This window comes from Homo sapiens, chromosome 10 (genome assembly GCF_000001405.40).
Source record: "Homo sapiens chromosome 10, GRCh38.p14 Primary Assembly".
NCBI classification, from domain to species: Eukaryota; Metazoa; Chordata; class Mammalia; order Primates; family Hominidae; genus Homo; species Homo sapiens.
This window is the reverse complement of record NC_000010.11, coordinates 46758089-46771522: the sequence shown is the minus strand read 5'-3', so window position 1 is coordinate 46771522 and position 13434 is coordinate 46758089. Positions and strand designations below refer to the sequence as shown.

General features: G+C 42.3%; 2 pseudogenes across 1 annotated transcript in view; one reads left to right on the top strand and one right to left on the bottom strand.

The window, feature by feature from the left end:
* Window positions 1–12500, top strand: part of GLUD1P2 (glutamate dehydrogenase 1 pseudogene 2) — a 27748-nt pseudogene extending 15248 nt beyond the window's left edge. Inside the window, exons 4-6 of the transcript NR_111968.1 lie at window positions 721–784; window positions 3231–3314; window positions 12363–12500. The product of NR_111968.1 is annotated as a glutamate dehydrogenase 1 pseudogene 2 (transcript). The remainder of the gene's footprint in view (window positions 1–720; window positions 785–3230; window positions 3315–12362) is intronic.
* CTSLP3 (cathepsin L pseudogene 3) lies at window positions 12458–13434 on the bottom strand (annotated as a pseudogene).

Sequence of the window (13434 nt, the reverse complement as noted above, 5' to 3'; positions counted from 1 at the left end):
CCAGCCTGGGTGACAGAGCGAGACTTTGTCTCAAAAAAAAAAAAAAAAGAATCACTGTGATCTAATTAGCCAGGCATAGTGACGCACACCTGTAATCCCAGCTACTCGGGAGGCTCAGGCATGAGAACTGCTTGAACCCAGGAGGCAGAGGTTGCAGTGAGACGAGATTTCACCACTGTATTCCAGCCTGGGCAACAGAGCAAGACTCTGTCTCAAAAAGAAAGAAGAAAAGTAGTACTGTGATCTGAAGTTTTTAGGTCAGGATCTCATGCTAGTGACAAATATCTTAACTAAGCCAATAAAAACCTTACTTTTTATCCTGTCAGTTCCAAGTAAATTCAAACTGGTTGTCACAATGCTTTACATAATACTAAATTATCTATATACAAACATAAACAGATATGATTTTTATTCTCTTTAAAATTCACCATTTAGATGGAATATAATTATATTACAATTAATCTTAATTAAGATTTGGTATATTTTTCAGTGGGGAATTAATAGAATGGGAATTTGAGTCCTGGTTCTACTATCTTGTTTTTATAACCTACTTTTTTGATCCCTTATTTTCTCACCTTTAAAATGGCATTGCCTACCTTATGAGTTGTTCTAAGGATGAGAAGACATGAAAATGTACTATAAATAGAAAATAAGATGCTAGCTATAATCTCAAGCGATTTTTGTATCTTTTTTTATTTTTATTGTTTTCTTATTTTACAGGATAACAAACTGGAAAAGATCACAAGGAGGTTCACCATGGAGCTAGCAAAGAAGGGCTTTATTGGTATGTGTAGCCACATAGATTTTGGCATAAAGTGGGAACATCTAAAAAAATCTTTTTTTTTTTTTTTTTTTTTTTTTTTTTTGAGACAGAGTCTTACTCTGTCTCCCAGACTGGAGTGCAGTGGTGCAATCTCCTCCACCTCCCGGGTTCAAGCAATTCTCTTGTCTCAGCCTCCCAAGTAGCTGAGACTACAGGCATGTGCCACCACACCCAGCTAATTTTCGTATTTTTAGTAGAGATGGGGTTTCGCCATGTTGGTCAGGCTGGTCTTGAACTCCTGACCTCGGGTGATCCACCCATCTCAGACTCCCAAAGAGCTGGGATTACAGGCATGAACCACTATGCCCGGCCTCCTACTATTTGTGATAGGAGCTTTTGCCAAACATACAACATTTTTGAAGACACTAATCTTCGTTTGCTTGATGTCTTCGTATCTTACTATTATCTGTGTTTATATGTTCTTTGTGTGTGATCTGAACATTCTTTCCTATGATATGTAAATATTTGTCATTTACCTTCTAATTTTCAGGCAGTTTAAACCTTTCTATACATATATTTTTAATCTAGAAGGCTTCTAATTTGTTTGAATAGAATATACATAATTATTTAATAAAATGCTTGGCCTATCAGTATAGTTAATAGAATGTTAATAGTTACTTAATAATATAATACTTGCCCTATCAGTATCAGTATAGTTAAACAAAATAAGGTCTACTTAAATAGGAAATAAAGTGTATTTTTCTCTACTTTCTTTCTCAGCATTTCCCCCACCATGGACAAATGCCTATGAAATTAAACTATAAAGTCTGGGCATGGTGGCTGGTGCTTGTAATCCCAGCATTTTTGGAGGTTTTGGAGGCTGAGGTGGGAGGATCACTTGAGCCTGGAAGTTCAAGACCACCCTAGGCAATATAGCGAGACCCCGTCTCTACAAAAAATGAAAATGTTATCCAAGCGTGATGGTGCATGGCTGTGGTCCCAACTACTAAGATGGGAGGATCCCTTAAGCCTGGGAGGTTGAGGCTACCATGAGCTGTGATCGTGCCACTGCACTCTGGCCTAAGTGACAAAACAAGACCACATCTCAAGAAGAAAGAGAAAAGAAATAAAGCTATTCAGATTCATTTTTAGGAAAAAAGTCATGAAATAAATGTCATGAAATAACCTAATATAGAAATACAGTAAGTATAGGTAACTCTAAAACTTGACTAGATTTGGCCTGTCTTTCATAATAAAAGGCATTTGGGCCTTTGACGTGCCGCATACCCAGCACTACTGTGAATTTGTGCATCATTACACGGAGCCTGTTAACATGAGTTAACTATCTCACTCACACTTTTATAGGAGTACCTACCGATTCTGAGATATGGTGAATTGAAGTCATGTTCAGCCTGTTAATAGCCTTCATAATTTTCAAAAGGTCTTTCCTCCTCGCCTAAATCTCAAACACATTTTATAGTCTTGAATGGTTTCAGACTTTATTCAGTCATATTTATCGCCCATATCTGCAATATCTCCAGCTAAATTTTATCAGTCTTGACAAGTACCTAATAATTCCAAAGGTCAAAAAGTGATTCATTGGAATACTGAAAGAAAACACAGCTTAAACTCTAGTAACTTGATTTATTTGCCTAATTCGCAAAGGCCTCATTGACCCATGATGCAGCTAAATTGACGTCTTGGCCCAGACAGCTTTGAAGCCTAGGAGGCAGGCAAAGGGAGTTTTTTCTCTCACTTCTCGGCAAACCTTCAAATTCGATGTTATTTATCTGTTATTTCCTGACACTCCACAGAGAGTGTCAGATTGAGGCTCAGACCTGAGCCTGAGCCCTGATCCTATCACATGTGTGTTTAGCATCAGCTTGTAAATTTCTGCAAAACAAAACAAAACAAAAAAAAAGAGGCTGGGATTTTGATAGGAATTGCATTGAATCTGCACACCAATTTGTGGAGTATTGCCATCTTCCCCACCCTCCCCAAAAGGGTTTTGCCCTTTCACCCAGGCTGGAGTACCAGGCAGCAGTCACTGCAACCTTGACCTCCTGGGCTCAAGCAATCCTCTCACCTCACCCTCCCAAGTAGCTAGAACCATAGGCGTGCGCAACTGCACCTGGCTAACTTTTTAATTTTTTGTAGAGACATGGTCTCATCACGTATCCCAGACTGGTCTCAAACTCCTGGAATCAAGCAATCTTCCCACCTCAGCTTCCCAAAATTCTGGGATTATGGGCATGAGCCACTGCACCTGACCAGTATTGCCATCTCAACCATATTAAGCCTTCCAATGCTGAATATGAGATGTCTTTCCATTTATTTAGGTCTCTGATTTCTTTCAATGATGTTTTGTAGTTCTCATTGTAGAAGTCTTACAACTAAGTATTGTATTCCTTTTAATGCTATTCTAAGTGACACTGATCTATCGTTTTCTTATGATGTCTTTGTCTAGTCTTTGTATCCAGACAATTCTAGCCTCATGGAATGAGTTGAGGAGTGTTCCTTCCTCTTCTGTTTTTGGAAAAGCTTTTGAAAGGTCAGTGTTCATTCCCTTGTGTGAGTGTAAATATCACCTATGTAAAGTTCTGCAGGACCCTGATGTCTCCACCCTTCTCATCCCCTTATATCTCTGTGCACCAAAATTACCCTTTCATCTCCTACTCTATAGTCACATGCTGTTAGAAAAGTTGCTTTTTTAAAAAAGATGAACTTCTGCCTCAGACCGTGCTCTCTATATAAGAATTTACCTGTTAGGCCAGTCGCGGTAGCTCATGCCTATAATCCTAGCACTTTGGGAGGCCGAGGCAGGCAAATCACCTAAAGTCAGGAGTTCGAGACCAGCCTGGCCAACATGGTGAAACCCCGTCTCCACGAAAAATAGAAAAAAGTAGCCAGGCGTGGTGGCGGGCACCTGTAATCCCAGCTACTCAGGAGGCTAAGGGAGGAGAATTGCTTGAACCTGGAAGGCAGAGGTTGCAGTGAGCTGACGTCATGCCGTTGTACTCCAGCCTGGGCAACAAGAGTGAAACTCCGTCTCAAAAAAATAAAAATTAAAAAAAAAAGAAGAACGTATCTGTTATTCAGGAGCTACTTGTAATCTGTGCATCCCAATACATTAGTTTGTATGGAGCAGAAAACTAGTAAGCCTAATAATTGATACCTTGTGATTTTGTTTTGGGTGGGTGAAGCTGTTGCATGTTTAACATGTATAGACTGTTTTTGAGAAGGATTTTATCATTATATGTTTGTGATTTACAAACTGTGTGCTTCAGACTTGCCACTTGCCAGAGCCCTTCTCCAATTGGAATTGTTTTTTGTTTTTGAGACAGTCTCACTCTGTCGCCAGGCTGGTGCACCGTGGCGTGATCTCGGCTCACTGCAACATCTGCCTCTGAGGTTCAAGCAATTCTCCTGCCTCAGCCTCCCGAATAGCTGGCACTACAGGCGCGTGCCATCACGCCCAGCTAATTTTTGTATTTTTAGTCTACAACGGGGTTTCACCACGTTGGCCAGGATGGTCTCGATCTCTTGACCTCGTTATCCACCCACCTTGGCCTCCCAAAGTGCTGAGATTACAGGCGTGAGCCACCGTGCACAGCCAGCTTTTTTGTTTTTAAAATATATTGTTTAATCAAGATGGGATCTCACTATATTGCCCAGGCTTGTATCAAATTCCTGGGCTCGAGCCATCCTCCTGCCTCAGCCTCCCAAAGTGCTGGGATTACAGGTGTAAGCCACTGCCCCAGCCTAGTTGGAATTGTTGTTTGAGGTAACAAGCTTACTTAATCCTAAAGCAAGCATAATACTTTCGTAGATGCCTCTAGAAAGATTCGGGACCAATTTGTCATTTGTACATTGGGAGAAAAGGAGTGGTTAAACAAAGTTTTACTGACCTCCAGCAGAGGTATGTCACTAAAGGAATGGAAAGTGAGCAAACAGGAGCTGGAGAGCACCAGAGAGCCCTTTTGTCAGTGGATGAGGCTAGAATATGGCATTAATCCTTCCAAGTGCTGTGTGGGGTTAGACTTCTCATGAAGGATAGGTTTGGGTAGGTTAGACTTCATGAGATTTTTTCTGTTTTTAAGTTTTTTGTTGTCCTTGTTGACTTCATGAGATTTTTAAGGTGACTAAGGGAAGGGTGCTAAGACATAGAGTTACAGATTAGGTGGGAGGTGGAGAGGGTTGGGGTATAAAAAGCAGTCTTTGAACATTTCAAAGTTGTCTTGTACCAGCCCTGTATCCAATATATCACATCTTGTTCAAAGAAGTTGATTATCTAGGCCTTGGGCCCCTGAGTTAAAGAAAAACATTACAGTATACTGATTCCGTCGACTAAAAAGTAAAATTTATAGGAAGAATTGAGTACAGTCCTTAGAAAGAACTTTAATTATTTTATGGGGGGACATAATGGTTTAATAGTTTAACCTCTTTTTTTTTTTTTTTTTTTTTTTTGAGAGACAGAGTCTCGCTTTGTCGCCCAGACTGGAGTGCACTGGCACAATCTCGGCTCACTGCAACCTCCGCCTCCAGGGTTCAAGTGATTCTCCTGCCTCAGCCTCCCGAGTAGCTGGGATTACAGGCACTTGCTATCACGCCTGGTTAATTTTTGTATTTTTAGTAGAGACGGGGTTTCACCATTTGGTCAGGCTGGTCTCGAACTCCTGACCTTGTGATCCACTCTCAGCCTCCTAAAGTGCTGGGATTACAGGTGTGAGCCACAGCATCCAGCCTAATAGTTTAACCATTTTTAAAGTTGTGTTTTTCTTTTTGTAAAGATGAGTTTCTATTATACAGTTGAAATAATATAGAAAGTTATAAACAATATATATATGGTGGGGAGAAAGAATGGGGAAGAGAAAGAAAATTGTAAGTGGGAACATGTTATACATGTTGTATGAAACCTGCCTTTTTCCATATGTATGTTTGTGATAATTCCAAGTAATTTACATGCATATGTTATCCTTTTTAATGGCTGTTTAGTACTTTGCATAGGTATACCATAGTTCATTTAATTGACATACAAGATAATTAGATTGTTTTTATTTTTACTATGTTTGAGAGGAGTATTTCTGCACCTTTACGGATTTGAGTGAGCATCACTTAACATGTTTTTATCAGAGATCTTACTGTAGCCGTCAGTAGTAGTGCAGTCAGTGATTTCTGTTATTGCCTGTAAGCTAATTTGTTAGCCTAACACTTCAATTTGCTATGATCTGAGGAACTGAAAGCTAAGGCCTAAAATTTTATATGTGCTAAGTGTCGAATAATAGGTCAAAGCTGCATTCTTCCACAAGTAAAGATAATATGGGGCTTAACACAATTGCTTTAGCAATGTGATTTTCTCCCCTTTTTCTCTACTTGGTAAGGAGGGCTTATACCCCCACTAAGCAGGCACATGCCTGTAATCCCAGCTACTCAGGAGGCTGAGGCAGGAGAATCACTTGAACCTGAGAGGCAGAGGTTGCATTGAGCTGAGATTGTGCCATTGCACTCCAGCCTGGGCAACAAGAGTGAAACTCAAAAAAAAAAAAAAAAAAAAGAAAGAAAGCAAGCAAGAAAGAAAGAAAGAAGGAAGGAAGGAAAGAAAGAGAGAGAAAGAAAGAAAAGTAAATCTGTGGATATTGTACAAAAGATTGTTTTATGATTTTTTAATTTTTTTAACATAACTTTTATTGACTTGTATTTGTATTTTTATCAAACATACTTCATTTGTTTATTTATTTACTTTGAGATGAAATCTCACTCTGTCACCCAGGCTGGAGTGCAGTGGTGGGATCTTGGCTCACTGCAACCCCCGCCTTCCAGGTTCAAGCAATTCTCCTGCCTCAGCCTCCCACGTAACTGGGATTACAGGCATGAGCTACCATGCCCAACTAATTTTTTTATTATTAGTAGAGATGGAGTTTCACCATGTTGGCCAGGCTGGTCTCAAACTCCTGACCTCAGGTGGTCCACCTGCCTCAGCCTCCCAAAGTGTTAGTATTATAGGCATGAGCCACCGCACCCAGCCTCAAACATACTTTAGACAATTTTTCACCTCAGCACTATTGACATTTTAGGCTATGTAATTCTTTGTTATGGGGGCTCTCTCTGCCTTGTAGGATGTTTAGTAATATCCCTGGCCTCTACATATTAGATGTCAGGAAGACCCCTCAGTTATAACAATGACAAATATATTCAGATTGCCAAATGTCCCCTGTGGAGCAAATTCATCCCTTGTTGTGAACTGTGATCCAGAGAGCCAAATAGTGATACAAGGTTTATTGTTCACAATAGCTCGTCCCCTCCAATCCAGACATCTGCCTCACCATATTCCACTCCCCAGAGGCAACCACTTTCAACAATCTTAAATGTTTCATTTTTATTCTATTTAAAGCCTTTGCTCATTTTTAAATTGGGTTTTGTCCACATTATTGAGTGGTAAGAGTTCTTTATATACTCCACAGCCAGTTGTGGTAGTATAGGCCTATGGTCCCAGCTACTCAGAAGGCTGAGGCAGGAGGATAACTTGAGCCCAGAAGGTCAACACTAGTCTAGGCAACATAGCATGACCCTGTCTCTAAATGAGTCTTTGAAGTATATATATTCTAGGTAATTGACCTTTATCATGTATATAATTTGTAAATATTTCCTCTCAATCTATTAGTTGTCATTGCACTTTCTTGATAGTCTCCTTTTTAATCTTGAGAAAGCATAATTTATTTTTCCTCTGGTTGGTGTGCTTTAGGTTGTATGTAAGAAACCATTGCCTAATCCATAGTCATGCAGATACATCCCTATCTTTTTTTTTTTTTTTTTTTGAGATGGTCTCGCTCTGTCGTCCAGATTGGAGTGCAGTGGTGTGATCTCATGGCTCATTGATAACTGCAGCCTCTACCTCCTAGGCTCAAGCAATCCTCCCCCTTCAGCTTCCCAAGTAGCTGGGACTATAGCACCAGCTATAGTCAGCCTCCCAGGTAGCTGAGAATATGGCACCAGGACTATAGCACATACCACCACTAAGCACAGCTAATTTCTGTATTTTTTGGAGAGACACGGTCTCACCATGTTGCCCAGGCCAGTCTTGAACTCCCAGGCTCAAACAATCCTCCCACCTCGGCCTCCCAAAGTGCAGGATTACAGGTGTGAGCCACTGTGCCTGGCCTAGAGAGATTTTTTTAAGAAATAGTGACCAAAAATATCCCACATTTGATGGGAATTGTGAATCTACACATTGAAGATGCTCAACAAATTCAAAGCAGGATAAACTCAAAGAGATCCACACTGACACACATTATAATCAAATTGTAGAAAGCTAAAGACAGAAAAGCAGCAAGAGATAAGTGATTCATCCTGTACAAGGGATCTTCAGTAAGACTAACAGTTGCTTATCAGAAATCACGGAGTATAGAAGGCAGTGGTGGTGTGCTGGGCATGGTGGCATGTACCTGTAGTCCCAGCTGACTGAGGCTGAGACAGGAGAATTGCTTGAGCCTGGGAGGTGGAAGTTGCAGTGAGCCGAGATGGCGCCATTGCACTCCAGCCTGGGCAACAGAGCAAGACTCCATCTCAAAAAAAAAAAAAAAAAAAAAAACAGGGTTGGGGAAGCTCAGCATGGTGGCTCATGCCTGTAACTTCAGCACTTTTGGAGACTGAAGTGGGATCACCTGAGGCCAGGAGTCCACAACCAGCCTGGGCGACATAAGGAGACCCCATCTCTACAAAATAAAAATAATTAGCCAGACAAGGTGGCTCAGGCCTGTGGTCCTAGCTACTCAGGAGGCTGAGACAGGAGGATTGCTTGCAGCCAGCAGTTTAAGACTAGCCTGGACAACATAGTGAGACCCCGTCTCTACAAAATATAAATTAAAAAAATTAGCTGGGCATGGTGGTGTGCATCTGTAGTTCCAACTACTCATGAGGCTGAGACAGGAGGATCGTTTGAGACCAGAAGTTGGAGGTTACAGTGAGGTATGATCATACCACTGCACTCCAACCTGGTTGACAGAGCAAGAACCTGTCACTAAAAAAATAATAAATGAATAAAAATATAAGAATGCTTGGCCTGGTCTGGGCGTGGTGGCTCACGCCTGTAATCCCAGCACTTTGGGAGGCCGAGGCGGGTGGATCACCTGAGGTCGGGAGTTTGAGACCAGCCTGGCCAACATGGAGAAACCCTGTCTCTACTAAAAAAATACAAAATTAGCCAGGCATGGTGGCACATGCCTGTAATCCCAGCTACTCGGGAGGCTGAGGCAGGAGAATTGCTTGAACCTGGGAGGCAGAGGTTGCAGTAAGCCGAGGTCACACCCGATTGCACTCCAGCCTGGGCAAAAAGAGGGAAACTCCACCTCAAAAAAAAAAAAAAAAAAAAAAAAGAATGCTTGGCTGGGCACAGTGGCTCATGCCTGTAATCCCTGCACTTTGGGAGGCCGAGGCAGGCGGATCACCTGAGGTCAGGAGTTCGAGACCAGCCTGGCCAATATGGTGAAACCCCATCTCTACTAAAAATACAAAAATTAGCTGTGTGTGATGGCACGTGCCTGTAATCCCAGCTACTTGGGAGGCTCAGGCAGGAGAATCACTTGAACCCAGAAGGCAGAGGTTGCAGTGAGCAGAGATTGCGCCACTGCACTGCAGCCTGGGCAACAGAGCAAGACTCGGGCTAAAAAAAAAAGCTGAAGTGAGTCCTTCAGGCTAAAATGAAAAGATACAAGATAATAACTCAGAGCTATATGAAAAAATAAAAATCACTGGTAAAGGCAACTATATAGCTAAATATAAAAGCTAGTATTATTGTATTTTGGGTATGTTATTCCTCTTTCTCCTTTATGATTTAAAAACATGCATGAAATAATATGCATCTATGTTAATAGGAACTAATTGTTTAAAGACATAATTTGTAACAATATAGCTAGGGGACAGAGAAAGGAGCAGAGTTAATGTATGCTATTGAAGCTGAGTTGGTATCAGTCTGAACTAGACTTAGAACTCAGCATGTTAACTGAAATCTTCATAGTATCCACTAAAAACAAAACTTTAAAAATATACAGAAAAGGAACTAAGAAAGGATCAAAATATTACAGGATAAATCATTAACCAAACACAAAAGAAGGTACTGAGGAGCAAAACACTTTATGTAGAAACTAAACAGCAGGATGACATAAGTAAGTTCTTTGGTGTGTGGGTTTTTCTGTTTTTGTTTTTTGGGGTTTCTTTGAGACAGAGTCTTGCTCTGTAACTCAGGCTGGAGTGCAGTGTTTCATTCTCAGCTCACTGCAGCCTTTGCCTCCCAGGTTCAAGTGATTCTCAGCCTCCTGAGTAGCTGGGATTGCAGGCGCCCACCACCAGACCCAGCTAATTTTTTGTATTTTTAGTAGAGATGAGGTTTCACTACATTGGCCAGGCTAGTCTCGAGCTCCTGGCCTCTAGTGATCCACCCGCCTCGGCCTCCCAAAGTGCTGGGTACAGCCATGAGCCACTGCATCCAGCCTGTTTTTGGTTTTTTTTTGAGACAGGGTCTGGCTCTGTTGCCCAGGCTGGAGTGCAGTGGCACAATCACGGCTCACTACAACCTTGACCTCTGCAGGCTCAGCTGATCCTCCCACCTCAGCCTCCTGAGTAGCTGGAACTACAGGTGTGCACCACCATGCCCAGCTTATTTTTCTATTTTTTGTAGAGACAGGAGTCTTGCTATGTCGCCCAGCCTGGTCTCAAACTCCTGGGCTCAAGCAATCTGCCCACCTCAGCATCCCAAAGTGATAGGATTACAGGCGTGAGTCCAACCATAAGTAAGTTTCTGTTTTTTGTTTTTGAGTCAATCTCACTCTGTCCCCCAGGCTGAAGAGCAGTGGTGCGATCATGGCTCACTGCAGCCTCACCTCCAGGCGGGAGCCACCGTGCCCGGTCAAGTAACTTTTCTGTTTCAGTAATCACTTTCAATGTAAATAATCTCATCAATGGAAAGATCGGCAGAATCAATTTTTTTAATAATGTAATACATAATCCAAATATGCAACTCACAAAATACTCACTGTAGACCCAAAGACACAAATTTGTTGAAACTGAAAAGATGGAAAGAGATAATCCATGCAAATAGTAACCAAAAGAGAGCCAGGGTGGCTATACTAATAATACCACACAAAATAGATTTTAAGCCAAAAACTGTTACAGAAAAACATTTTATGTTCGTAAGAGAGTCAAATCACAAGAAGATGTAACAATTATAAACACATATGAACCAAAAAAAAAAAGGGCTCCAAAATGCACAAAGCAAACTAATAAAATTGAAGGAAGAAACAATTTTACAATAATGGAGACCTCAATGCAGTGGCTCTATCACAGCTCACCGCAATCTCTGCCTCCCAGACTCAAGCAATTCTCCAGCCTCAGCCTCCCCAGTAGCTGGAACTATAGGCACACAGCACCACACCCAGCCAATTTGTGTATTTTTTTGTGGAGACGGGGTCTCACCATGTTGCCCAGGCTGGTCTCAAATGCCCAAGCTCAAGCAATTCACCCACCTCAGCCTCCCAAAGTGCTGGGATTACAGGCCTGACCTACTGCGCCCAGTCAACACCCCACCTTCAACAGTAAATAGAACATCTAGACAAAATCAATAAGGAACTAGAGGAATTGAACAACATACTAAACCAACTAGACCTAACAGACATATAGAAAGCTCTCCATCTAACAAGTGCAGAATATATATTCCTCTCAAGTGCATATGGAACATTCCCCATGATAAATCATATGTTAGGTCACAAAACAATTCTCAATACATTTTAAAAGGTCAAAATTATACGAAGGGCCACATGTGGTGGCTCACAGCTGTAATCCCAGCACTTAGTGAGGCTGAGACAGGCGGATCACTTGACCCCAGAAGTTCAAGACCAGGCTGGGCAACATGGTAAAACCCTGTCTCTACGAAAAAAAAATTTTAAAATTAGCTGGGTGTAGTGGTGGTGAATACCTGCAGCCCCAGCTATTCAGGAGGCTGAGGCAGGAGGATGGCTTCAGCTTGGGAGGCAGAGGCTGCAGTGACCCGAGATCATACCACTACACTCCAGCCTGCAGGACAGAGCAGGACCTGTCTCAAAAAACAAAACAAAAAAAAAAAACAAAAACAAAACAAACAAAAAAAAACAGGCCAGGCTTGGTGGCTCATGCCTGTAATCCCAGCATTTTAGGAGGCCGACGCAGGTGGATGACCTGTGGTCAGGAGCTCAAGACCAGCCTGACCAACATGGCAAAACCCCATCTCTACTAAAAATACAAAAAATTAGCTGGAAGGGGAGGCAGGCACCTGTAACCCCAGCTACTTGGGAGGCTGAGCCAGGATAATCTCTTGAATCTGGGAGACAGAGGTTTCAGTGAGGAGAGATCACGCCGCTGCACTCAACCTTGAGCAACAGAGTGAGGCTCTGTCTCAAAACAAACAAACAAAAAAATTATACAAAAAAAAAAGTGAACTGCATGTTGCTGCACAGTCTACCATAGCACAAATGTCAATTGCTTCTTGGCTTTCCTGGGGTGATGGGAGGTCTGAACCTAACACAGTCTCACCTGATCCTTCACAGGAGTCACGTAGCCTTTCTCTCTCCAGTCCACAGATGTGGGGATCTCAAGAAGCAGGCGTTCCTGGAACTGTTTCCCCTTCCTGTGCTTCTGGTATTGAAAACCATTCATCACCTGCCTGAATTCTTCAGTGGTCTTCAAAGAAAAGTAAATAAAATGTTAAGAAGCAAGAGATTAATTTGGTAAAGAACTGAGGAGGGGAAGCACAGAGCTGGGCAGCCCACAGCATACTTACCATGTCTCCAAAGGCGTTCATGGCCATTGTGAAGCTGTGTTTCCCTTGGCTGTATTCCTGATTGTGCTGCTCAGTCATCTTCATGTTCTCTCACACTGCTCTCCTCCATCCTTCTTCATTCTAAAGGCAAACATGTAACTGATGCTCTTCATTTCTTTTTTTTTTTTTGAGACGGAGTCTCGCTCTGTCGCCCAGGCTGGAGTGCAGTGGCACGATCTCAGCTCACTGCAAGCTCTGCCTCCTGGGTTCATGCCATTCTCCTGCCCCAGTCTCCCGAGTAGCTGGAACTACAGGCGCCTGCCACCATGCTAACTTTTTGTATTTTTTTTCAGTAGAGACGGGGTTTCACCGTGTTAGCCAGGATGGTCTCAATCTCCTGACTTTGTGATCCGCCTGCCTTGGCCTCCCAAAGTGCTGGTATTACAGGCGTGAGCCACCGTGCCCTGCCAATGCTATTTATTTCTAATTAAAACCCAACATATGCTAACCAAGTGAATCTTCAGACAGAGATGTAAGAGTAACCATGGCCAGGGAAGGCTTGACACTTCTAGGAGATGTTTTCCAAGCTGAGACACAACAAGGGTGTATGCCCATATCGTGCTCATAATCAGTGCTATTAAGTTATTGCGTTAGGTTATTGGTAGGAGCCAGCCTCTAGAAGCCACTCTCTGGCCATATGATCCCAATAGCAATGCCCATCTCTCTGGGATTCCCCTGGACAGTTTCAGATGCCACCAACCATGCCATATAATCTCTTGTGCTTTGCCTTCCACTTGGTCCATTGTGCGTCTAAACTGTGGTCACGTGTTAGAGCAGCTGAGGCAATTCCCAGGAAAAAGGCAGCCAGGAGGAGTGAAGGATTCAT